The sequence below is a fragment of the Homo sapiens genome, chromosome 1 (assembly GCF_000001405.40).
Source record: "Homo sapiens chromosome 1, GRCh38.p14 Primary Assembly".
NCBI lineage: Eukaryota > Metazoa > Chordata > Mammalia > Primates > Hominidae > Homo > Homo sapiens.
In genome coordinates this window covers 180,015,404-180,042,668 of record NC_000001.11, presented here as the reverse complement: position 1 = coordinate 180,042,668, position 27,265 = coordinate 180,015,404, and the positions used below count along the sequence as shown (strand labels likewise).

Here is a 27,265-nt window from a genome sequence, read left to right as displayed (position 1 = left end):
TGCAAGTGCTGCATGTACCATCCATTCAGTATTTGTTCAAGCACTACTTTGAGCTATTCCTTTTACTAATGACTTAAAGTGTTTTGAAATCTTTGTTGATGTTGTCTACATTTTAATTTTCTTGAGAAAGGAGACTCAGTTTTATACTAAAATGTACAACTCCACAGTACCCAACATATAGTACATTCATGGATTTCCAATAACTAAGTCATTTTACAAATAGTACTAACTTTTGGTTTAAAAAAATTATAACTGCTAAAATAAAGTGAAACTGTATCAATTATGAATTGTGATATCCTATGTAGAGACAGCAATAAAACTACTTTGGGCTATACCCACGTTATAGAAGAAAAGACAGTAACTAATATCATTCTGGGTAAAAATGAAACATCTTCACCCAAAGCAGATCAGTGGTTCCCCAGGACTGAGATTAGGGACTGGTTGCAAAGAGACATGAGGAAATATGCTATTTCTGGATTGTGGTGATGGTTATAGGGAGATGTGTGTGTGTGTGTGTGTGTGTGTGTGTGTGTGTGAGAGAAAACTCACCAAATTGCATACTTAAAATAGGTACATTTTATTGTTTATAAATTATACATCAATAAAGTTGATATTTTTCTAAAAAGCTTACCAGAGGGCAGAAATTTAGAGCTCTTCATCTTTTTTCTGCCTCTATAACATTCAATCACATGTACAACACACTCCAATCAATGGTGCCTCTTATTTCAATAGGGTATGGCCCCCACTAAAAGTCACTAATTCAAAGTATGCATTTACTAAGATATTAGAAACCCATTACTGAAGATCAAAGTTACTCAGATTGACTAAAAAGAAGTAAAAAGAGAAGTGTTCTCAGTGGCACCTACCTCACAGATTTGACGTGCTGCGTCTGTGGTGAGGCGAGCAGTTTCTGACTGCTGAGCTGCTATTTTACACGTTGCTTCCTGCAGGACTTCAGTTACTTCCCGTTGTGATTGAACCACCTGCTGTAATGATTCTGCATGGACCTTTAAATAAAAGGGGTTTAAAAAAGAAGTTATGTTTTAATCTCCCCTCCTCCTGAATTAATTTTAATTTATAAATTTATTTCATGTCTTATTCATAGTAAAAAACACTTTACTACAATCTGGATTTCATGGTTTAAGTCTTAACTCTACTGTTCACAAGTTACTGTATCTGTGGATAAATAAATACAACGTACCTCAGTTGCCACTTCCCTAAACTGGAAATGAGTCTTGACAATTTATTTCACAAGGTTGTAACAAAAATCGAATTACATGGCATTATCCCATAAAAAGTACTAAAACTTTATTATTTATATATACACTTTTTTCTCCTATATAATTAAAAGAACGCTAAAGTAATTTCTAAGATACAAATTTAGGTTTAAAAAACAAGAACCTGCTGCAAAATAAGTTACCTGAGCTGCTTTGTTTCGGGTTTCTTCTAATTGTCTCTGACTCTCCAGAGCCTCTTGTTCAGCCTTTAGTTTCAAGAGGGCCAAGTCTCTTTCATGGCGTTGCTGTTGTGCCTTCAAAATAATGGTCAAATGTTAATTCTCAGATACGAAACTATTTTAACACAGTGACTATAACACACACAATGCTATCTTACTAATACAAATCATTTGAAGCAACTAATTAGAACCAAAAGGAAAGATAGTAAAAATAATAGTCAACAGCCACTTACCATTTATCAAAATATTTAATGATCACCTCCCATATGCCAAATAATGTAGTAATATAAAAAATTTCCAGGGCATACAGGACTAAGAATTAATACCAAAAAGCCATTTAGAAAGCAAAGGCTATAGCACCCAACTTTTTGGAAGGGATAAAAAATGTCCTATGTGTAAAAATAAAAATAATGCCTCACAAACTCACAATTTTATGATTCTTTCATTTTGACTTTGAAGTAGTAGTTTCATTAAAAAATGATGTCCCCATATAAGGTTTCCTTGTCACCAGGACCCTTTCTTACCACTATCCCACACAATGTTATCTATAAATATATATATATATTTTTTTTTTCATCTCCTTTGAAATACTGCTAAATAATAGAGGTTTTCAAAAGGTGGTAAGGGCTGGGCACAATGGCTCATGTCTGCAATCCCAGCACTTTGGGAGGCCAAGATGGGAGGATCACTTGAGGCCAGGAGTTCAAGATCAGCCTGGTCAACAGAGTGAGACCCCCCCACCTCTATTTTTTTTTTAATTAGAACAAAACAAAAGAAAACAAAAAATGGTGGTAAGGCTGTATGTAAGGCTGTGGTAATGCTCTGCCCAAATCTGGAAACCCAGAATTATAATGTATTTCTAAAGTGGCAGAAAACCTCAGTGCTGACTCAGATTTCAAGGTCAGGATGGCCCTCCACTACAATGGAGTCATTTCCTCAATAAAATGACTATCAACAAAGTTGGCATTAGTCCCTCCCCACCCTCTACCAGGCAACATCTGGAAATGTCCAGAGTTTCTGCTGTCACAATGACTGGACAACACTACTGTTATTTAGTCGGGCAGTGGCGGGGGGAGGGCAGGAATGATGGGATCTCTGCAAAGTATGGGAACAGTCCCACACCAAGAACTGTCTGACGGGTCTTTTGGGAAGAACAAATGGAAAAGGAAACTGAAAAAAAAAAATTTTAGCATCAAAAACCATAAAACATTTGGGAATAAATTTTAAAATGTATAAGACCTCTACAATGAAATACTAATGAGAGAAATATTCAAAGATTTAAATAAATAGAAAAATATATCATGTTCATGAATTAGAAAAGGCAACACTGTTAAGATGTGAATTCTCCCCAGACTGACTAACCTACAGATTCAATACCATTCTAATGAAAATCCTACCAGGCTTTTTGTTGTTGTTGTTGTTGAAACTAACAAACTGATTCTAAAAGTTACACGGAAATGCAAAAAACCTAGAATAGCCAAAATCATCTTTGAAAAAAAGAAACAAAGTTGGAGGAATTATGTCTTGATTTCAAAACTCACTAAAAAGCCATAGTAATAAAGACAATATGGTACTGACATTACAGATAGATGAATAGATTAATGGAAAATGAGTCTAGAAATAGATCTACACATAATTGATCACTTAATCATTGATAAAGGCACCAAGGTAATTTAAGTCTTTTTAATAAAATGGTGCTGGAACAATTGAATATCCATACTAGAGAAAAAGAAACTTTGACTCTCTTCCTCACATCAAATCCAAAAATTAACTTGAGAAGGATTACACACTTAAATATGAAAGATAAAATTATAAAGCTTTTGGAAAAAAACGTAAGAGAATGTTAAGATATCTTAGTATCTTAGGGTAGGATTCCTTTCTTTCCGTTCCCTCCTATCCCTCTCCTCCCTCCCCTCCCTCCCCTCCCTCCCTCCCTCCCTTCCTTCCTTTCTTCCTTTTTTTTTTGAGACAGGGTTTCACTCTGGAGTCCAATGGCACAATCTTGGCTTACTGCAACCTCTGCCTCCCAGACTCAAGCGATTCTCCTGCCTTAGCCAACCGCTACCACCACCCCCCACCCCCCCACCACGCCCAACCCGCCGCAAGTAGCTGGGACTACAGGCATACGCCACGGTGGATGGCTAATTTTTGTATTCATAGTAGAGACGGGATTTCGCCATGTTGCCCCAGCTGGTCTTGGAACTCCTAAGCTTAAGTGAGCTGCCTGCCTTGGCCTCCCAGAAAGTCCTGGGATAACAGGTGTGAGCCACCACAGTCGGCCCAAAGATTTCTTAGAAAATTAAAGGTTCTACCACAAAAGAAAGAAATTAAAACTGGATTTCATCAAAATTTAAAACTTCTATTCCTCAAAAGACACAGTTTAAAAAGTGAAAAGATAAGCCAAGACCTGGAATACAATATTTCCAATACATCTGAAAAGGACTTGTTTCCAGAATATATGAAGAACTCCTATAAAATCAATAATTAAAAAGACAATCCCATAATGAAGGGGGTAAAAGATTTGAACAGATATTCACAAAAGAATGCTCAATAAATACACAAAAAGACAATCAGTCTCATCAGTAATAAGAGAAACGCAAATTACAACCACAATGAGATACTACTTCATACTCAATAGAATGACTGAAATAAAAGACTGATAATACCAAATGATAGCAGGGATACAGACAACTGGCATTCTCCTATATATTACAAGAGTGTAAAATGTTACAACTATTCTGGAAAACTGTATGGCAGTTTCTTATAAAGTTTCATATACTTGACCCAAGCAATTCCACTCCTAGGTACTTATACAAGAAAAATGAAAACATATGTAGTATGCACAGAGTTGTTTAAAAATGTTCATAGCAGGAATATTCACAATAGCTAAAAACTGGAAATAATCTAAATGTACATCAATAGGAAAACTGATAAACAAATTGTGATATTAATGGAATATTACTCACCAAAAAACAAAACAAAACAAAAAACTACTGATAAAACAACATGGATAAATCTTAAATTGGTATTGAATAAAATAAGCTAAACACAGAGTTCAAAGTACACTTCCTTTTATACAAAGTTCTAGAATAGGCAAAAATAAACTATGGTGCCAGAAATCAGAACAGTAATTGCCTTTGGGAAGGGGGAGTAATTGAAAATGGGCATAAGTCAACTTTCTGGGGTAACAATGTAAGGGTTCTATATCTTGATTAGGGTGGTTCTTACATAGGTATATACACTGGTCAAAACTCACCAAAACTGGGCCAGGCGCGGTGGCTCACACCTGTAATCCCAGCACTTTGGGAGGCCGAGGCAGGTGGTTCACGAGGTCAGGAGATTGAGACCATCCTGGCTAACATGGTGAAACCCTGTCTCTAGTAAAAATACAAAAAATTAGCCGGGCACTGTGGCGGGCACCTGTAGTCCCAGCTACTTGGGAGGCTGAGCCAGGAGAATGGCGTGAACCTGGGAAGCGGAGCTTGCAGTGAGCCGAGATCGTGCCACTGCACTCCAGCCTGGGCAACGGTGAGACTCTAACTCAAAAAAATAAATAAATAAATAAACTCATCAAAATTGTACACTTAAAATCTGTGTATTTTATACTATGTGAATAATAACTCAGGGGTTTTTTTGTTGCTGTTGTTGTTTAAAGCATCTCCACTAAGGGAAGAGCGCTTAGACCATCTCTGGATTTTTGTTTGCTAAGGAAAAGTCCACATTATCCTGGCTTTATCAAACACCCGGATCTCAGAAACTTCTCTTTTTGGTACAAATAGAACTTAAAAAAAAAAAAAAAAACCCTCAGTATTCTCTCACCTATCAATGAAAGGAGAAAATATTAAGAATGTTTGACTAGATGATTTTTATACTGTCAACTAAACAAAGCAGAAAACATGGAAAACAAAGTATTTGAGAGAGAATGATTTTATTATTGTTCTGCTGCCAAACACTGTATCTTTTTAGTGTCCCGACAGATTTTTCCCAGGACTATTTATTTATAGGTGCTATATGGCAGACTATTTTTTTCTATTTGACACAGTAGTTTAAGTCATCATTAAGACCATTTTAAATAGCGAAGAAAAAAGAAAAACCACAGAAAGCTAAAAAACTCCAAAAATACCTTTATTATCTGAGCTAGAGACACACTCTCCTGCTGAGCAAGTGAAATGCCTCTAACTCTTTCTACATCTGACAGTTGGCGCACCGACTCCTCAATGGCGTTCAGATAACTGAGTTCTGCTGCCATACGATGATGGAGGCCAGCAGGAGAAAAGCGCTTAGAACCTGGAAGGCATGACAATGGTCAAATGGAAAAGTTAACATGAAATTACACTCAGATTTCTAAAATCTGTCATTTTAAGAGCCAAAATCAACTTTGCTTTCCTTTGTAGAAAAAACTGGGACTCAGTACAGAATACCTTGGAGATACTGCAGGTTCAGTTCCAGACCAAAGGAATAAAGTAAATAACAGAATAAAGCAAGTCACACAAATTTTTTGGTTTACCAGTGCATATAAGAGTTATATTTGCACTATACTGTAGTCTAGTAAGTGTGCAATAGCATTATGTCTAAAAAAAGTACATACTTTAATTTAAAAATACTGTATTGCTAAAAAAATGCTAATGATCATCTTAGCCTTCAGCAAGTCCTAATCTTTTTGCTGGTGGAAGGTCGTACCTCAATGTTGATAGCTACTGACTGATCATGGTGGTTGCTAAAGGTTGGAGTGACTGTGGCAACTTCTTAAAATAAGACAATAATGAAGTTTACTGCATCGATTGACTCTTGCTTTCACAAAAGATTTCTCTGGAGCATGTAATGCTGTTTGGTAGCATTTGACCCACTTTCTGTAGAACCTCTTTCAAAACTGGAGATAATCCTCTCAAACCCTGCCACTGCTTTATCAATTAAAGTTTATGTAATATTTACATAATTACTGTCATTTCACTAGGAGTAGATTCCATCTCAAGAAACCACTTTCTTTGCTCATGCATAAGAAGCAACTACTCATTCATTCAACTTTTGTCATGAGACTGCAGCAATTCAGTAACATCTTCAGGATCCAATTATAATTCTAGTTCTCTTGCTATTTCCACCGTATCTGCAGTTATTTCCTCCACTGAAGTTCTGAACCCCTCAAAGTCATCCACGAGGGCTGGAATCAACTTCTTCCAAGCTCCTGTTAATGCTCATAGTTTGATCTCCTTCCACGAATCACAACTGTTCTTAATGGCATCTAGAACAGTGAATCCTTTCCAGAAGGTGATCAATTTACTTTGCCCAAATCAGCAGAGGAATCACTATCTATGGCAGCTATAGCCTTACACAATGCATTTCTTAAATAATAAGACTTAAAAGTTGAAATTACTACTTGATCCATGGGTACAGAATAGACTTTGTGTTAGGGGACATAAAAACATTAATCTCCTTTTTTATGACCATCAGAGCTCTTGGATGACCAGGTGCATTGTCAATAAGCAGGAATAAATATTTTTTCAAATTCTGAAAAAAACACTTTGAAAAAAATCTTTTATTTTTCTGGGCAGTAGGTCTCAACAGTGGGCTTAGAATACTCAGTAAACCTGAGGGCTGTAAACAGATGTGCTGTCATTCAGGCTTTCTTGTTCCATTAATACAGCACAGGCAGAGTAGATTTAGCTTAATTCTTTAGGACTCTAGGATTTTCAGAATGGTAAATGAGCATTAGCTTCAACTTTAAGTCATCAGCTGTATTAACCCCTAAATAGACAGTCAGCTCATCCTTTGAAGCTTTGAAGCCAGGCACTAACTTCTCTCTAGTTATCAAAGTCCTAGATGACATTTTCTTCCAACATAAGGTTATTTCATCTACGTTGGAAATCTGTTTAGTGTAGCCACTTTCATCAACTATCTTCTGGATAACTTGCTGCAACTTCTACATTAGCACTTGTTGCTTCACCTTGCACTTTTATTTTATAGAGATGGCTTCTTTCTTTAACCTCTGCTAGCTTCCAACTTTTCTTTTGCAGTTTCCTCACCTCTCTAGGGCTTCACAAAATTGAAGAGTATTAGGGTCTTGCTCTAGATTAAGCTTTGGCTTAAAGATGCCACTGGCTTGATCTTCTATCTTGGTCCCTAAAACTTTCTCCATATCAGCAATAAGGCTATTTTGTCTTCTTATCTGTCATTCATGTGATACCTTTCATTTCCTTCAAAAACTTTTCCTTTGCATTCACAACTTGGCTAACTGGCACAAGAGGCCTAGCTTTTGGCATATCTTGGCTTTTGACATCCCTTCGTCACTAAGCTTAATCATCTGTAGCTTCTGATTTAAAGTGAGAGATGTGACTCTTCCTCTCACGTGAATACTTAGAGACCATTGTAGGGTTAGTAATTGGCCTAATTTTAATATTATTGTGTCTCAGGGATAAGGAGGCCAGAGGGAGGGTTGAAGAGGGGAACGGGGTGAGTTGGTGGAGCAGTCAGAACACACACAACATTGATCCACTAAGTCTGCCCTCTTAAACGGACATGGTTGGTGGCACCCAAAACAATTAGTAATACAACAGGAACATCAAAGATCGCTAATCACAGATCACCGTAACAGATATAGTAATAATGGAAAGCCTGAAATATTGAGAGATTTATCAAAATTGTGGACACAGGGACATGAAGTGAGCACATGCTGCTGGAAAAATGGCACTGATGAATTTGTTCAATGCCATGAGCCTTTAATTTGTAAAGAAAAAAAAAAAAAGACAAAAAAACCCCGCAGTATCTGTGAAATGCAATAAAGCCAAGCACAATAAAACAAGGTATGCCTATACAATGTACTTTACTTCTATGTGTGTGCATGCGTACATGTGTGTATACATGCATATACATATAAACAGGAGTGCACATATGGGACATATTTTTCAGATATGTTTTGACTAATGCTGGCTGACAAGATGGGAAAAAAGTCAACATTACTGAACCTCTCGTGCTTTTCAATATTTAATTTCTTGCAGTTTTTAATACTTGAAAAGTAATCATATTCACTTGAAATAATATTTCTCTATGACTCAACTCAAACAAAGAAAAGGAATGTTGAGAGAAAAAAATTTCATATCGTATTCTAAAAATTACAATTGCATGAATCTACTTACCTGGTATTGGAGCCATGTTCTCTGTCGTTGTTCTGCTGGCTGCCGGGTTCAGATCAGTGAGAGGTGCATTAGGCTTAAATCCTGTTATAGTTGGAGGCATTACTGACGACTTAGATCTTTCTGAAGAAGTTCCTGCAACGTCAAACTGCAATGATTTCTGGGAACTTGGTGACAGGGGAGAAGTTGGAGTTTTCTGAGATCTTCCCTTATCTGATGAGACACTAGAAGTTTTGATCCACAAAAACATTAGAGGAAGGAAAAGTACTTTGTAAACCAGCTAAATAATTCAAAAGAACAACATATAAAAAAACTATCAACATTAGCTTTAAAAAGTTGTGATTTAGGCATTTATTCATTAATATAATCACTATGCTGAATGAATGACTATGAATATTCCTCTAATTGCTAGAATTACAGTGGTGAACAAGCAAGGCACAAACCCTGCCCTAAATACAATGGAAAGGGAGTAGCTTGATTAAACTAGCACTGAACTCTTCCCTCTACAGTGTACATATACTATGATTCACTCATTATAGCATGAAGCAAAGTCTTCTAAAATAGACACTCTACAGCAATAAAATTGGAGCCATATATGAGTCTTAAAATACATCTCTGAAAGCGAATAAAATATTTTATGTTAAAAGGTAAGAAAAGACAAAAACTATTCTTTTGTTATACCCTCTTGTTGATCCAAGAATCACAGAAAAAAATTTCACACTATTCATCTCTAAATACTTAATATACTTCATTTCTTTATATCTGCTTTTTAATACTACATCTCTTTCTTGAACTTTCTAATAAGTAACATAACAGTTTGTAACAACTCTTAAGGCATTTAATTCAATACAAGGCACGTTTCTAGCCTTTCTTTGAAAAAGTAAGCTCATTAAAGGTATTATTTCTTGTAACATCAAGCATGTTGCCTTGCACTGAATATTTATTTACTGAATAAATTATTCAAAGATACTCTATAAAGCATTTTAGCACAGTTATATTGCCAATATACTGAAACAAGTTTGCTTTTAGCTTCTAATAAAATGATGAAATAGCTTTCAAAGGTAAAAATTTCTCTTATACCCAGCATAAAAATAGTTGAATAGAAGTAGGCCTGAGAGGCACTCATGTGTTTATTTGACCCTTAATTTTCTATTGATACTTTAGATAAATACTATTTCTAACAGTCTATTTCATGTATGAAACACAAAAAGAATGATCATTTTAACAGATTTCTGTTAAATAATTAAAACACAACATCAAAGAAAACAAAGTACTCTGCACCTCACCTTAGGGTTTTATAAGATGAATTTATATTTGCTATGCAGATAAAATTTAGCTAGACTAGCATTTCTAAAAGTATATTTCCAATAATGTTAATAAGCTTTCCCCAAAAGAAAGCAAAAGAGCTTGGGGACAAAGAGTGACTACAGGCAAATAGGAAAAAAAAAAAAGAGGTTAAACAATTTTTGAAAAATCTGGACTTCTCCTTATCAAAGCCTCAAATTATTTTATCTCTGTGAATCTCCATGGGTAGGGAAGGGGAAATCTAGATTGCAGTATGGGGCATTGATGAAACTTATTTGGCTATGGATCTCATTAAGAAATGTTTAACTTTGTAAATTTCATCAAGTTAAATCATCAGAGTAATTCTTAAGGAAAGGTAAAGTTTTCTAAATTCCAAAATCACTGACAAAGAAAAAAAATTTAATTTTAAACACAGAAATAATGGTATTAATGATGCAAAATTATTTGTAACATGAAAGCACTAAAAATGGTAATCTTTATGTGTCACAGTACTAGAAAAAGCACAAAGTTACTTTAAAAGGAAAAAATAAATCTGTGTCTTCTCAGAGCCTCAATTTCCAAGACAAAACCAGTGCACACATGAAAAGTCATATGGACAAATGAGTAGGAACTGTATAGCTAGCAACAACTGAAGGTTATTTGTAAGCAACGGACTAAGTGCATCGTATACAATATTAGAAAGAAGAGAAAAAACAGTACGCAAGCTCCATAATCAGTAAGAGTGAGATTTCAAAATCTGCCTGAGTGGTCTAGTAAGTTCAGCAGAAAAGTTGAGAGGAAGAAATAAACAATAAGACAATAAGGATGCTAAGTAGCTGTGTTGAAAGAATGGATGAATAGATGAGAATTGACATTTATAGACAAAAGAAATGAGATAGTTTGTGGTAGCCCAGTGAAAACACTTCAAGTAGAGTTATGCACTTAGAATTGATCTATGACCTCACAAAGCACCCTAAGCAGGGTAGCTGCTTAGTCAAAAGATTGAGCCAAGAAAACAATTGTAACAACGGCATTCAGCATAGAAAACTGGGCTGTGCTAGAGGGAGAGAATTCCTGAGAAAGAGGTTGTAACAGTTTAGATGATACATAACCATATTCTAATATACAGATAAAGATTAGAGCTGTGAACAAAGCTATGAAGTCTATTTGTAAAATACAGAATTTTGTAGTAGCTCAGACATGCACAGTTAAGGGGACTGCTGAGTTAAAATTCATTATATGGATTTTTTGAATATCAATTATATATCTTTAATTATATATAAATTACAGTATAAAATATACATTACCTCACAGAATGTCCAGAAAGATCCTCCAAAGTGCTATCTGTATCAAGAGTCTGCTCAAAATCTTTAACAGAAAGTTTGCTGCTGGTCCCAGATTTCTTTCCTTGATGGGAGCCACGTTCTGCTTTTTCCTCATCAAGAAGTGAGTTCTGAACATTTCCAGTGAATGAATCCAACCCTGTAAAGTAAATTTCTTATAAAGCTGATTCCCAATATTAGAAGTTATTGAGAGAGATAATTGATATATAGATTTCAATAAAATAACAAAAAGTATAAATCAGAATATTTAAAATTTGACTTATACTATATTCAAAATCTGTTTTCCATATCTAAAATAAAGCAGTTCATCCTTCTGTCTCTATTTAAGGAAAGTGAAGTTTCTTCCATTAATTCCACTTGCTATTAATAAATCATTCTTAGTGCAATAGTAATAAAAGATAAATATATTAAATAACAATAAAATACTAATCTATCCCTATGAAAAAGTAACCAAAAAGAATTTTTTAAAGGATAAAATCCAGAGCTGGGAGAAAAATCGTACCAACTGCTAATTGAACTACATAATTCTTTTGAAAAAGTCTATGGTAAGAACTATGTAGCCTGATTTATAAAAATATTCACATTCTCTGACTCTCAATAATTTTACTCATAGGAATATATCTTAAGAAGATGACTGAAACAAAAATTATGCATGTTATTCAATGGGTAACTCTGTAACTCAAAGAAATTTAATCTACATTTCTAACAAGAGAATACCTGTCTAAATCACATAGATAATAGTAACCTGAACATTTATATAGGACATTGTAATTCAAATGCACTTCATATATAGTACCTTATTGCTCTTAAACATGTTATGAAATAAGTACTATATCCCAAATTTACTGATGAGGTAACTAGAGATCTATGGGGCTTAATAACTTGCTTCACAAGGTATTCTGCTCTGATCAACAGCAGAAATGACATACACCCAGGCCTCCTGACTCTAGTCTAGTACACTATTCATCTTGATTGTATGTTTAAACAGCAGCATGGGAAAATATTTATTATTACCTTTTAAAAAAAGCAGATTACAAAACTGCATATAAATTTTAATAGTGGCCCAAATTTTAAATATAAAATATATATTTCACATATTATATATATATTATGTTTATATATACACACATATGTATATATATACATATATACACATATATACTTATGTGTATATATACGTTAAAATTTTTGTAAAAATTTATTGTAAAATTACTATATATACTTTAAAATATATATATATATATACAAAAAATTTAAAGTTAAACTTTAAAGATATATATGGTTAAAGAGCAAAAGAAAATACAAAAGTGAAATAAAAAATACCCTTTATACTCGTATTCATAGCAGTATTACTCAAAATAGTCAGAAGATGAAAGCAACCCAAATGTCCGTGAACTGATGAATGGATAAACAAAATGTGGTTTATACATACACGGGAATATTATTCAGCCTTAAAAGGAAGAACATTCTGACACATGCTACAATACAGATGAACCTTGAAGACATTATGCTAAGTGAAATAAGCCAGTCACAAAAGGACAAATATGATTCCACTTACATGACACAGCTAGAATAGGCAAATTCATAGAGAGAAAGTAAAACAGTTGTCACTAGGTGCTGGGAGAAGAGGAGAATGAGAGTTATTATTGAATGGGTATAGATTTTAGTTTGGGATGATGAAAATGTTCTGGAGATAGATAGTGATCATGATGGCAAAACAATGTGAATGTACTTAATGCTAATGAACTGTACAGTTGAAAACGGTTAAATTCCCTAGTGAAATTCATAGAGACAGAAAGTTAGAATGGTGGTTGCCAGAACTGAAGGGACGGAGGAATGGAGAGTTATTGCTGAATGAATACAGAGCTTCAGTACGGGAAACTGAGAAAGTTCTGAAGTTGAGTGGTGGGGATGATTGTACAACAGTATAAACGTGCTTAATGCCACTCAACTGTACACTTAAAACAGAATATTATTAATCAATTAGAAAGGACTCTATAAAGTCTATTTAGGATCCCGAGGCTAGAAGCAAGCTGTTAATACTGATTATTGCTAATTTTTCTACAATAAAGCTGTACTGCTTTCATAGTAAGAACGCTTTATTCACTTAATATTGTTTGTTGACAATAAATACACAACTTAAAATTTTTTCTTGACTTTAAACAACTAGAAATTATAGACAAGATAACATTCTGTGCAAGAAAGGCCTACACTCCAGTCCAGGGACCCATATGAAAAGAAAATGTCCTGACATTAAAAGATTGCCAAGTAAAGCCATATTCCATATCTTAAAGCAAATTTTTTTCCCCTAGGATTACCACTTTAATCTACCAACTACTTTCAACTACACTGGGTAAATTTTTGTACAGAGCAGGCAGACACTCCTTTTCACCACCAGATGGAACATATACAATTAAAATCACACTGATTTTAGAACTTGGGGATGAAGGAGAAACTAAGTTTAAGAAGATGCTGTGGAAAGTGAAATATATCAGGGTTTTTCTGGTATTGCCGGTGAGGATTAGGGAAACTGAAAGCCACAAAATGCTACCTATACTTCATCTTATCTGTTTTAGATGATAATGTTTTAAACCTACATTAAATCATATTATTAATACACATATACTCAATAAATCATGATTTTTTCTTTTTTTTTGAGACAGGTCTAGCTCTGTTGCCCAGGCTGGAGTGCAGTAGCATGATCATGGCTCACTGCAGCCTCAACTTTGGGGACTCAACTGATCCTCCCACCTGAGCCTCTCCAGTAGCTGGAGCTACAGGTGTGCGCCACCACGCCTGGATAATTTTTCTATTTTTTCTAAAGACAGGGCTTCACCATGTTGCCCAGGCTGGTCTCGAACTCCAGGAGTTTGAACTCCTGCATCAAACGATCCACCCACCTCAGCCTCACAAAATGCTGAGATTATAGGAGTGAGCTACCATGCCCAACCTATATCATGATATTTCAAAATTGTGCAGTATATCATACCAGAAGATAGACTGGATTTGGGAGTCAGAAGTCAGAATCTGGGCTTTGCCAATAACAAGTTAGTGACCTTAGGTGAGACACTAACTTAGCAAACGCTAACAATTGCAAAATAAGAATTGAGCAAGATCAGCATTTCCCAAACTGTGTTCAGCTGAATTCTAATGCCATAAAATGATGATTGATGATTCAGTAGTCAAAATACACTTGGAAAATGCTTCATACTACAGCCTCATCCTTATCCTAAAATAAGTAATGCACTAGCATATTACAGTGTTGATGAGTCTTACAGGAAAGAATCTTGTTTCACTCTAAAAGAATTTCCCAAATTTCTGGAACCATGGAGCTCTTTTATTCTCAGAACACTTATGAAACAGTCTATACCACTAAACTTGTATTTCACAAGAAAATACAGTTTCGGAAGTGCTGGTAAAATGATGTCTAAATGTCCTACAAAGACTTTCAGAACACTTCTAAACTGTTTATATTAGGTTAATGATTTAAAAATAATTTCTCCTAGCATTCTCATTGGACGTATAAACTGGCACTAACTTTCTGAAAGGCTATTTGACAAAATGTACCACATTTTAAACATGGCATATTATTTGCCCCATTATCTTATCTCTAGGATTTTCCCCTATAGGAAAAAAACAGACTAATGCATAAAGGTGTATTTACAAGGATATTCAATGCAGTAGTATTTATAATGGAATAAAGAAAAAAGAAAATAACCTAAATATCCAGCAATGGGGAAAGAGTTAAATAAATTATAATATATTCAAATAACAAGCCAGGTGCAGTGGCTCACGCCTATAATCCCAGCACTCTGGGAAGCTAAAACAGGTGGATTGCTTGAGCCCAGGAGTTTGAGACCAGCCTAGATAATATGGCAGAAGCCATCCCTACAAAAAAATAGAAAAATTAGCCAGGTGGGGTGTTGTGTGCCTGTAGTCCCAGCTACTTGGGAGGCTGAGTGGAAGGACTGATGGAGCCCAGGATGTTGAGGCTACGGTGAGCCATAAGCCGTGATCACACCACTGTACTCCAGCCTGGGTGATAGAGTGAGACCCTATCTCAAAAAACAAAACAAAAAAAGCCAAAACAGAATAGTATTCTGTTACTTAATGGGTCTAGAGTTTATTTAGTGGGTAATCCTTACAAATGGTAATCCATATTTACTGACAGAAAAAGATACCCATACCCTACAGACAGAATAAAATTGCATGTAAAATGTGATCCCATACACATAAAATTGCCTATTTGTGTGTGCCTACAAATTGTCTGGAAGGACTCTTGCTAAAAATGTTAACATTTCACGCCCATTAGGATGTCCTATTATCAAAAAAGCAGAAAATATAAAGTGCTGGCATAAATGTAGACAAAATAGAACCCTGTGCATTGCTGGTGGGAAAGTAAAATGGTACAGCTGCTATAGAAAACATTATGGCAGTTCCTCAAAAAATTAAACATGGCATTACCATTTGATCTAGCAATTCTGTATCTGGGTAAAGCAGGGATTCAAATAGGGTATTTGTACACCAATGTTCATAGCAACATCATTCACAATAGCTAAAAGGTGGAAAATACCAAAATGTCCATCAACAGATGAATGGATAAACAAAATATGGCATACACACAGCATGGAGTATTATTCAGCAATAGAAAGAAAGGAAATTCTGATACATGCTGCAACATAGATGAACGGTGAGTCAGATATTATGCTAAGTGAAATAAGCAAGATAAAAAGGACAAATACTCTATTATTCCACTTATATGAAGTACGCAGAGTAGTCAAATTGATAGGGACAGAAAACAGAACAGTGGTTACCAGCGGCTGATGGACAGAAGAATGGAGTTATTATTTAATGGATACAGAGTTCAGTAGGGGAATATGAAAAATTTCTGGAGAAGGACAGTGGTGATGCTTGCAACAATAATGTGAATGTACTTAATGTCACTGAACTGTATATTTGAAAATGGTTAAAATGATAAATTCTATGTCATGTATATTTTACCACAATTAAAATAGGCAGAGGGCAATGGCTTATGCCTACAATCCCAACATTTTGGGAGGCGGAGGCAAAAGGATTGCTTGAGCCCAGGAGTTCGAGACCAGCCTGGGCAACAAAGTGAGGCCCTCGTCTCTGCAAAATAAATAAGATAAAGTGAAATAAATAAAATAAATACTTTTTTTTTTTTTTTGACACAGAGTCTCACTCTGTCGCCCAGGCTGGAGTGCAATGGCGCAGTCTCGGCTCACTGCAACCTCTGCCTCCTGGGTTCAAGCGATTCTCCTGCCTCAGCCTCCCGAGTAGCTGGGATTATAGGCACCCACCAACATGCCTGGCTAATTTTTGTATTTTTAGAGACGGTGTTTCACCATATTGGCCAGGCTGGTTTAAATGTTAACATCCGTTATCTCTAAGAGAAAGAACTAGAGGAGATTTACTTTTAAATATAGGTTTCTATATTCATTGATGTCTTCCTCCTATTCCTGTTCCTTCCACCCCCTGAAGACTTTTAGCTCAATGAGTAGGATTTATTTTATGTATTTTTTATTTTACTTTAAGTTCTGGGATACATGTGCAGAACATGCAGGTTTGTTACAGAGGTATATATGCGCCATGGTGGTTTGCTACACCTATCAACCCATCATCTAGGTTTTAAGCCCCGCATGCATTAGGTATTTGTCCTGATGCTCTCCCTTCCCTTACCCCTAACCCCCCGACAGGTCCCAGTGTGTGATGATCCCCTCCCCGTGTCCATGTGTTCGCATTGTTCAACTCCCACTTATGAGTGAGAACACGCGGTGTTTGGTTTTCTGTTCCTGTGTTAGTCTGCTGAGAATGACAGCTTCCAGCTTCCAGAAAAAACATTTTTGGAAGCAAAATCATTCCCCTAGCTAGACACCATCCTGTGAGTTTACAAAGCCTTTGCCTAATCACTTTGTACAGTGATTATCCATCTCCGTAGGCCTATAGAGCAAATTTAAGCCAAGAGTAGAAATGAGGACATTGAAGGGCATCTCAATCACTCAAAAATATTTACTGAATGCCAATGAGTCAGCTACAGTGCTAGGTACCGGAATGTATACATTATCTCCCTTAATTTCATATAAGCTTAAAAATTACCATATCTATTATTATCTCTATTTTATAGATAAGGACATTTGGGTATTATATTTAATGATACTCAGAGATGTATATACTATAAAGTTTTTTTAAAAAACCAACTGCAAAGCAATTATTTACATTTGTTTTTAAAATAAAGTCATGTGTCCCAGCACTTTGGGAGGCCAAGGCGGGTGGATCACGAGGTCAGGAGATCGAGACCATCCTGGCTAACATGGTGAAACCCCGTCTCTACTAAAAATACAAAAAATTAGCTGGGTGCGGTGGCGGGCGCCTGTAGTCCCAGCTACTCGGGAGGCTGAGGCAGGAGAATGGCATGAACCTGGGAGGCGGAGCTTGCAGTGAGCCAAGATCACGCCACTGCACTCCAGCCTGGGCGACAGAGTGAGACTCCGTCTCAAAAAAAAAAAAAAGTAAATAAATAAAGTCATGTGTGTGTATAATTTTACGTATACATCAAAAATGTTAATAGTAGTTAATCTCTGAACAGAAGTCTCAAAGGAAATTTGTCTTTCTTTGAAGAGTGTTTATCTCTAATTTTTAATTTTTTATCATTGCAAATGTATTCCTTTTGTATTAAGGAAAAGATTCATGATGTTATATATCAAAAGGTATTATTATAATGATAAATAAATATGAAAGCTAATTACATTACCATAAGAAATTCTTCTAACTTCTTATGCAATCAAATCATAACTTTAGATTACTACAACAAAATCATTGGTAAGAGAAAAAGTTACCATGTGGAATTCCACTTACATTCTGTCTTTTCCTTTTTTCCTTTCTTTCCTTTAGAAGAAGTAGATGAACGAGACGATGCAGCAGACTGGGCTCCTGATGAATGCTGGGAGGTAACATCCACAGAGGAAGGATCATAGGCAGACTTTCTGTTAGAATGGTCCTCCTGAGGGCTTAAAGTGCTACTGTCAAAGAATAAATAATAGTAGTTCCAGAAAGAAAAGTCTTACAACACAGCTAAATTAAAGATATTTAAAAATCTATGTAATCACTAGGAGACTATAACTACAATCAAAGATGGCTTAACACTTTATTATTTTTTTTTAACCACCATAAGCCTGGATTGTTCCCTATGGTTCAATTTATTACTAAGAAAAATCAAAGGTAAGTGAAACCAATAAAAACTAATATTTAGAGAAAAATGTATAATGTTGAATACTGGAAAATATGGCCTCAATTTCTATTCAAATTTATAATTTATATATTATAACTATTTCTCCTCTTATATTCTTATGGAGAACAATAACTTAATATGTTCTACCTCTACCTGGAAATAAAATGCATCAAATCATATTGATTGGTGATATTAAATGTCACCATAAATCTTTGAAGGTTTTTATTTAAAAATTTCATATTTTCCTTAGAGCTCAAAACTTAAAACTATGCTTTTTCTCATATAATTTTTATACTTATTCCTATTAATCTATTTAGATTTAACTAATTTGTATAAGATTACCTAATAATTTTACATGGATTACAATTTGTAATATTTGAAAAAGATGATATTAAATATGAATAATTACAGATAAATTTTTATGGCAGCTAAATATAGGGAGAAAATTCTCTCCAACGAAGTCTGATTCACTTACTATGTGACTATGTACAAGTAATTTAACCTCTGCTTCAGTTTGCTGTCTAAAACAGAAATGATAACAGTAATACTTTCCACATCAGGCTATCATAAAAATGAGTTAATACAGGTAAAGTCCCTCAGTCCTTTCAGTGTCTTGCACACTAAGTGCCCAATAATTATCAGATGTTATAATCATTATAATTATTGTTTTTCAAAGCTTTGCAAATTTTTCAATGTTTTCTTGATTATAAAGAAAATTACTTATTACTTGGAACCATGGAGTCATGTATCTATCTGATCTTCCTCAATTCTATCACAGAAAACCATTTCTTAAGCTTTTTATGTTAGTATAGCATGGAATAATTTCCCAATACTCCAATACTGTACTAGGAATTCATGGACTGATTTCATAACCTATACTCTGCTTACTATGTGCCAGGCCCTGTTCTAAGTAAGTGATTTTTTTTTCTTTCTTTTTTTGAGATAGGGTCAGCTTTGTCACCCAGGCTGGAGTGCAGTGGTGCAATCTCGGCTCACTGCAACTTCCACCTCCCAGGTTCAAGCGATTTTCGTGCCTCAGCCTCCCTATATTTCATTTAATACTCATAACAACTCTATGAGGCAGGCAGGTACTATTAATGTCCCCATTTTACAGAGAAGGAAGCAGAAGCATAGGAAGGCTAAGTAATATGTATAAATACAAACAACCAATAACCAGGAGAGCCTGGATTTAAACAAAGGCAGTCTGGATCCAGAGCCCATGCTCTGGATCTCCACTATGATGTGCAGCCTCTATATGTATTTTTAAATGAGCAAAACTTGGCTAATATTCAGACCAGAGTTCTCATTTGTACATTTTTCTCACTCTTCAGAGTTTATTCCATATTGCCAATATATCTTACTGAGGTTCAAGAGTTGATTTTTTTTCTGTCGAAGTCCCAGTCCCTGGAGAGGAGACAAAATCATCTTCATATGAAACACCACTTAGAGGAGTTGCGGTGGCATTCAAAGGCCGTGATGTTGATGTTCCTCTGTCCAACTTGTCTTCAAACCCTGACAAAAGTAATAATTGAAACATGGTTAAAAACGAAAATCAAGAAACTGTAAGAAAAGCATCCCATACATGGAGATTAGCAATATGGGCTTAGGGACATTTTAGTTTCCTTTAATAGTGCCTCTTTTCTATTTACCTTTATATCCAATGATACTTTTTTAAAGCTTTTAATTAGGAAAATTTTAAAACATACAGAAAACAGGGAGACTAGTATAATGAAACCAAAGTATTCATCATCCTGCTTCAACAATGACCAATACATCACCAATCTAGTTTCAAATAAACCTCCTACTACCTTCATCTCCCACCCCCCAGACTATTTTAAAGCAAATTCCAGACAACATTTCATTCTCATTTCATCTCTAAATATTTCAGTTTAACTATAAAATCTTAATGAAAATTTAACAGAATTTAAGAAGAAACAATTTTCTTATTAAAAATGATGTTGATTTAAGCATTTTACTTTCATCAAAAGAAATCAAAATAACTTTCAAATCAAAACAAATTTAAAATTACCACTAATAGAAATGTGGCTAAACAAAAGAAAGCAATAGCATATGAAGGTCTATACAAGACCATTAAGAAATACCTAAATATGAATTCTAGGAAAAAGCAATGTGATACCCAGTTGAGCATAAGAGGAACAGATGAAATCCATTCACTATATAGAGGGGAAATTTCCAATCCGGAAATTCTAAGATAATGTTAGTATAAAATGGGCAGATTCCATATATAGCAGGAAGGATAGAGAAAGGGACTTGAAGGAATTGAGTCTATCATAGAAAAGAAAACTGTGTTGCAGGATTTCAGGTATAAGAAGGGAACTTTAGAAGTTACTGTTTTAGGAATCAAATATATAGCTACATTATTGTTTAAAGTCTGATTGCTATTCAAATTAGTTTTAACAAACAGTAATAGAGTTGTTTTCATATTAGAAATGTTACTACATTTATCCCTCTCAATTCTTGATTGCTATATTCCCAAGAAGTCACAAATCATCACTGTGTTAAGAAACATACTTAGTTTCTTTTCTTTTTTTTTTGAGGAGTCTCGCTCTGTCGCCCAAGCTGGAGTGCAGTGGCATGATCTCAGCTCACTGCAACCTCCGCCTACCAGGTTCAAGCGATTCTCGTGCCTCAGCCTCCCAAGTAGCTGGGATTACAGGTGCATGCCACCACACTCAGCTAAATATTTTTTGTATTTTTAGTAATGGTGGGGTTTCACCATGTTGGCCAGGCTGGTCTTGAACTCCTAACCTCAAGTGATCCGCCCGCCTTGGACTCTGAAAGTCCTGGGATTATAGGCATGAGCCACCGCGCCTGGTTTATACTTAGTTTCTACTGAAGTACATAACTATGGTCACAGAAAATGTAGTATATACGTGATATATATCCAATCCTGAACATCATCTATGAATTTCTCTGAACTAGATAAAAATTTCTAAAGCTACCAGTCTCAACTATTATTTTATGATAATAACAATTTTAAAATGAAATTTTAAAGATTAAATTACTAATACTCTTACTTAAGGCTTGCAGGAAATTTAGAAGATGACTAATACGGACAGTAATAAGTCTCCATTATCCACTCAACGAAAAATGTGTACTAAAGTACATATCTCATACAGAAATTATAAAATAATTCATCTTAATATACAAACAGTACAAGCTATATTTATTTTTCTCACCTTTTCCATATAACTGATAGGATTTTGTAAAAATATTAATGACGCTATGTGGACTTCCCTTTGCCAATTCTTCCCATGGTCCTTTGCTTTGTGTACCACCTATGTGCCCAAAAAGTGGCAAGAATTTTTCAGCTTCTTTCTGAAACTCTTTGATGGGTTCATAACTATTTCTTTCTCCAGGACAAAATTCCTTTTCTTTTAAAATTTCTGCTACTTTCAAAAGGGGCTGTCCATCCTGGTCTCCCTCTTCTTCAGAGAGACTCCCCTCACTAAGAAGAGGCCCTTCACTGACTGAATCTATGCTGGAACCAAGAGATATTTTGGCTTTGTCTTGAGAACAGGCTTGCATATCAGAGCTAGAAGAGTCAGTCTGCCTTTTACATAACTGTGCCAGTAGCCCTTCTGGTTTGGGACCAGGGGATCTCACTCTAAAGCTTGATATGGCACTCTGTGGTCTTATCATCTCAGGAAGCTTTTTAAATTCACTAAGATTGCCTACACCAGGAAGATCATCATCAAAAGTTGCATGAGATACACAGCTTCCCAGCATCTTCTGAATTCTGGCAGAGAAAACATCTTCATTATCATCTTTCACAGGTGGAGTTACAGCCTTGGTCCAAGGTCCATCTTCTTGAGGTGCCTGCTGCACATCATACTCAGTGTTCCATGCTGACCCATAGTTAATGCTGGCCCCAGCTAATTTCTTGGCTTCACTTTCAATTCTGCTGGACAAAGAAGCAGCTGTTGCTTTCAAGGCTTCAATACGATCCAGTTTACTCTTATATTGGCTGGCACTAGGTTTTAACAAGGCATCTGTATAAGCAGCTGGTGAGGTCACATATGGTTGAGGTGTAAAAGTTAATGGCCTTGAAGCCATATTATGATTCTTCCTGGTTGGTAAAATAGATTCAAAATCCTTATGCAAAATTCCTACATGCTCTAAACTCAAGAGATGGGAGAGTAAACTTCCAGCTGTTCCAGCAAAAGGCTGTGGTTGAGAATGGTGAACTTGTGGGCTCAATCTTTCAGGCTGCATCCATGTAGATTCCATCAAGTCTTTTCTGGAAATGAAAGTCACAATATGTTAGTTAACTAAACCACCATTTTAAAAAAGTTTTTTTTTTATCTGATTATAAGAGTAATGAGGATGCACTGCAACAAAAAAAGGACAGATAAAAAATATAAAAAAGATAAAGATCACTCAGCAAAACAATAAAAAAGAGGCACTGTTAATATTTCATTTAGAATTATATCCTTCCAAACATTTTTCTATTTGTACATTATGTTTTGGTGGTATTGTTTGTACAAAAATGGGATTTTACCATATATACTGTTTTGCAAGCTGCTTTTTTCAACTAAGATGCCATATTTTTAAAAAACTATTAAAAAGGCAATAAGATCTTTAAAATTCTATAAACAGAATTCCTTACAATACTGATTATAATTTTTAAAATAACATTACATAAAAGAGAAATGCTTAAAATTGCTAAATATTAATGTAGACATGATATAGATTATTCTAATCAACAAATATTTACTATATGCTGAACACTTATGTTTAACAATGTACATGCTAAATAGGGAGGTTATTATAACCTATTAATACTTGTAAAAAATTAATGAACGTGAAACAATCAAATGCAAAACTATCAGTGCCAACTATAAATATGCAACTATAAATACAAATATACAGGGTAGGGTATCCATTAAGTCTAGAAACAGAATAAAGATGTCCTAAACAACATTATGTGTATTTACCTATATTTCCAGACCATAGACTTCCTCTATATTAAGGGATACTACAGAGAGATTACAGGATGATGTCAACTATTAAGAAGACCCTTAGAGGAACAGGCCAGGAACAGCGGCTGATGCCTGTAATCCCAGCACTTTGGGAGGCCAAAGCAGGCAGATGACTTGAGGCCAAGAGTTTGAGATCAGCCTGGGCAAAATGGCGAAACTCATCTCTACTACAAATACCAAAAAATTAGGTGGGCATGGTGGCATGTGCCTGTAGTCCCAGCTACTTGGGAGGTTAAGGCACAAGTATCGCTTGAACCCGAGAGGTGGAGGACGCATTGGGCCGAGATCGTGCCACTGCACTCCAGCTGGAAGACACAGTAAGACTGTCTCAGAAAAAAAAAAAAAAAAAGAAAGAAAGAGAAGACGAACATGAGGCTTTGTCCTTGGTCTTGTCCATTATTTTAGGATGATGACACAAAGATATGCTTATCAAACTTGCAGATGACAGAAAGCTGGGAGGCATGGCTGACCCAACAAATGACCAAATTATGAGATGAATTTATTTTTATAGGCTGCAATCGTAAACCAAACTAATATGGATAAATGTAAACTTCTGCAATTGGGTTAAAATAAGTCATCTGAAGGGGGGTAACCAGGGTAATAATAAGTTGAAAAGCATGTCATTAGAATGAAGGAAGAAAGACTAGAGCACAGATTCTATGCCTTAGAATATAGGCTATTACAAATGCAAAGTGTGAGGCTATTGGGGCCTAAACTAAGCTGGTAGTAATAGGAATACAAGGGAAGTTATAATATAAAAGATATTGATGAATAAAAATCCAAGAGCTTTAAATTCAAGTATTTAGAATGCCAATTTTATAGCAGGTGATATGTTGATGGTAGAGAAACAGGAGACAAAAATGAATATACTTAATCCAGTTAATCCTGAGCTGGGCATGGTAGCTCACACCTGTAATCCTAGCTACTTGGGAGGCTGAGGCAGAAGAATCAATCACTTGAGGCCAGAAGTTCAAGACCAGCCTGGGCAACATAGCAAGCTCCTCATCTCCAAAAAAATAAAAAACAAAATAAAATTAGCCAGGCGTGGTGGTGCATGCCTATAGTCACAGCTACTTAGGAGGCTGAGGTGGGAGGATCACTTGAGTCCAAGAGGTTGAGGCTGCAGTAAGCTATGATCGTGCCACTGCACTCTAGCCTGTGTGAAAAAGCAAGACCCTGTCTCCAAATTAAAAACAAATAAAAAGGCTTAATCCTTACACTTTAAGATCTCAAGATCTAGCAGGGATGACAAACAAACAGCTAAAATAAGACATCACAAATACTAAAACAAAGATTTAAAAAGTTCAGTAGGGTATAGATGAAGCAGCAATTAACTCTGCTAGCCAAGGAAAGTGTTTGTTAAGCTGGATCTTCAGTTTTCAAGGTGAGATATGAAACCTGGAGTTTTCCAGGTAGTTAACACAATATGCTATAAAGAGTAAGGAAAAGAAATGCCAAATTTTAAGCAAAAAGTAACATGCTTTTAAACATAAAGTTATGCTAAAACTATTAACGGGAATGGGGGAGCTCAGAAGCTGGGTAGCAAGAAAGTGGACGCAATAAGTTAGACATCAGGAGTCAAAGAAGTTGGATATTAAAAGAAAAGTGAGAAACTGGTACAAGGTAGTATGGTCTAACACTAGATTTGTTTGTGTTTGGCTTGCTTTTAATATTGGATAACTTGTTTAGAATTAGAAGGAAATTCAGAGAAAGATAAAAATTGAAGACATTAATATAGCAGGGTATGTCTGACAACAATAGGACTGAGATGAACTAGAGAGTATCACCCATCTAAAAGCATTCAATCCTCTCCAGAGACGACACTTAGAAAAATAAGTAAATAAATAGAAGCATTCAAATTCAAAACAAAAATGTTAAGTTTATTTATACTTAAAGTTTGAAATGTATTTAGAACCTTAAGCAAATCATATGAAACATTTCACTTTTGGGGAGTAGTATGTAGAGTAGTTAAAGCACAGGCTTCTAGAGTCACACTGGCTAAATTAAAACCTATCTCTATCATTAATGTTTTGACCTTTGAGAAAGCTTTCTAGGCCTCAATTACCTCTTCTGTAAAACAGGAATAACAACAGTACCTAACTCAAGGAATTACAAGGATTAAGTAAAATAATATATGCAAAGTACTTAGATCATTGCCTGGAACCTAAGAAACATTAATAAATGTTAGCTATTTTTATTGACAGTATTATTCTAGGGACAATGGGGTAAAAAAAGGACCATATGGGCCAGGCTCGGTGGCTCATGCCTGTAATCCCAGCACTTTGGGAGGCTGAGGTGGGTGGATCACTTGAGGTCAGGAGTTTAAGACCTGCCTGGCCAAGATGGTGAAACAAAGTCTCTACTAAAAATACAAAAATTAGCCAGGTGGTAGTGGCACATGCCTGTAATCCCAGCTACGTGGGAAGTTGAGGCAAGAGAATAGCTTGAGTCTGGGAGGCGGAGGTTGCAGTGAACCAAGACTGTGCCACTGCACTCCAATCTGGGCAAGAGAGTGAAACCCTGTCTCCAAAAAAAAAAAAAAAAAACATAACCCAAAATTGGATAGTGATTTTGATTTCTATTTACGTGTTCTCAAAGAGTTTCAAAATCTTTCCCTTTCCAAAATGGTTATTATTACAAAGTATAATTTATAACCACATAACCTAAACATCACCTTTACTTCCAAACTCACAGTTTTTTTGTTTACTTTATTGCAAACAATATATTACAGCAAAAAAGTATTTTAAGGTAAAATAGTCTGTTGACTATCTGAAATCAAATCAGATCCCTTCCTAGTCCTTATTAATGTGTCCACAAGCATATCCAAAGGTAGCTCTCGAAAGTACAATGGCTAAATTGTTCTTACACATAAGAAATTTTAAATAGCAGTAGACACAAAAACCCGTTTGAAATTAACCAAAAACACTTTAAAATTTCACCATCATTCATTCATCCAACACACTTTTATTGTGTGTTTAGTTCACAGAAGGCAAGAGTGCTTCCAACTGTAAAAGAAACTGACATTTACATTAAAAGGTAAAATTTGAACAATTAGCCTAGGGTATACAGTAAGTACAGATGTGCACTATGCCTAAATTTCAGAAGATATGAACCAATTTGTAAATAAACCTCTCTGCCCTCTTGTTCACAAAAGTCAACAAAATTCTCTGAACATAGACCACTCCGCTAAATTTCATGAAAAGAATCTTAATCATCTTTCATTCTTCCCTTTTTACCTTGCAAGAGGCTGTGGAGGTTCTGAGAGAGACATGTCACTACTGGAAGATGCACTTGGGGGACGTTCCTGTACTTTGTTTTCTTTGTCAGATTCTCCAGATGGCTGATACCCTGGTTTGGCCTAGGAGAAAAGGACATCAAATTTATATGAGTTCTGTCACAAAGATATATTCAGGTAGCACCTAAGTTAAACATTAAGTCACCTCAGCTCTACAAAGATCATAAAATGTAGTGGTTTTTTTTTGTCAAACAAAACCAATTAAAATTTATTTTGTCTTAAAAACAAACATTACTAATAGCAAAACACCATCTAAAATCCAACGGAGAGCCAGGCACTTTGAGAGGTCAAAGTGGGAGGATCACTTGAGTCCAGGTGTTCAAGACCAGTGTGGGCAACACAGTGCGACCCTGTCTCTACAAAAAATAAACAATTTCCGGCCAGGAGCGGTGGCTCACGCCTGTAATCCCAGCACTTTGGGAGGCCGAGGCGGGCGGATCAGGAGGTCAGGAGATCGAGACCATCCTGGCTAACACAGTAAAACCCCGTCTCTAATAAAAATACAAAA

At 35.5% G+C, this 27,265-nt stretch overlaps 1 protein-coding gene across 27 annotated transcripts in view; it reads right to left on the bottom strand.

The window, feature by feature from the left end:
- The window catches only part of CEP350 (centrosomal protein 350), a 160,066-nt gene that overhangs the window by 72,207 nt on the left and 60,594 nt on the right, over nucleotides 1–27,265 (bottom strand). For 14 of the 27 annotated variants that reach the window (NM_014810.5, XM_047435442.1, XM_047435400.1 and 11 more), the window contains 9 exons: nucleotides 26,699–26,820; nucleotides 21,660–22,720; nucleotides 19,821–19,971; nucleotides 18,087–18,250; nucleotides 11,175–11,349; nucleotides 8,587–8,807; nucleotides 5,580–5,743; nucleotides 1,421–1,531; nucleotides 867–1,007 (listed from right to left, as the gene is read on the bottom strand). In NM_014810.5, the coding sequence (NP_055625.4) occupies nucleotides 867–1,007; nucleotides 1,421–1,531; nucleotides 5,580–5,743; nucleotides 8,587–8,807; nucleotides 11,175–11,349; nucleotides 18,087–18,250; nucleotides 19,821–19,971; nucleotides 21,660–22,720; nucleotides 26,699–26,820 (2,310 nt within the window). The remainder of the gene's footprint in view (nucleotides 1–866; nucleotides 1,008–1,420; nucleotides 1,532–5,579; nucleotides 5,744–8,586; nucleotides 8,808–11,174; nucleotides 11,350–18,086; nucleotides 18,251–19,820; nucleotides 19,972–21,659; nucleotides 22,721–26,698; nucleotides 26,821–27,265) is intronic. The other 13 variants (XM_047435459.1, XM_047435399.1, XM_047435466.1 and 10 more) reach the window with 2 other exon arrangements.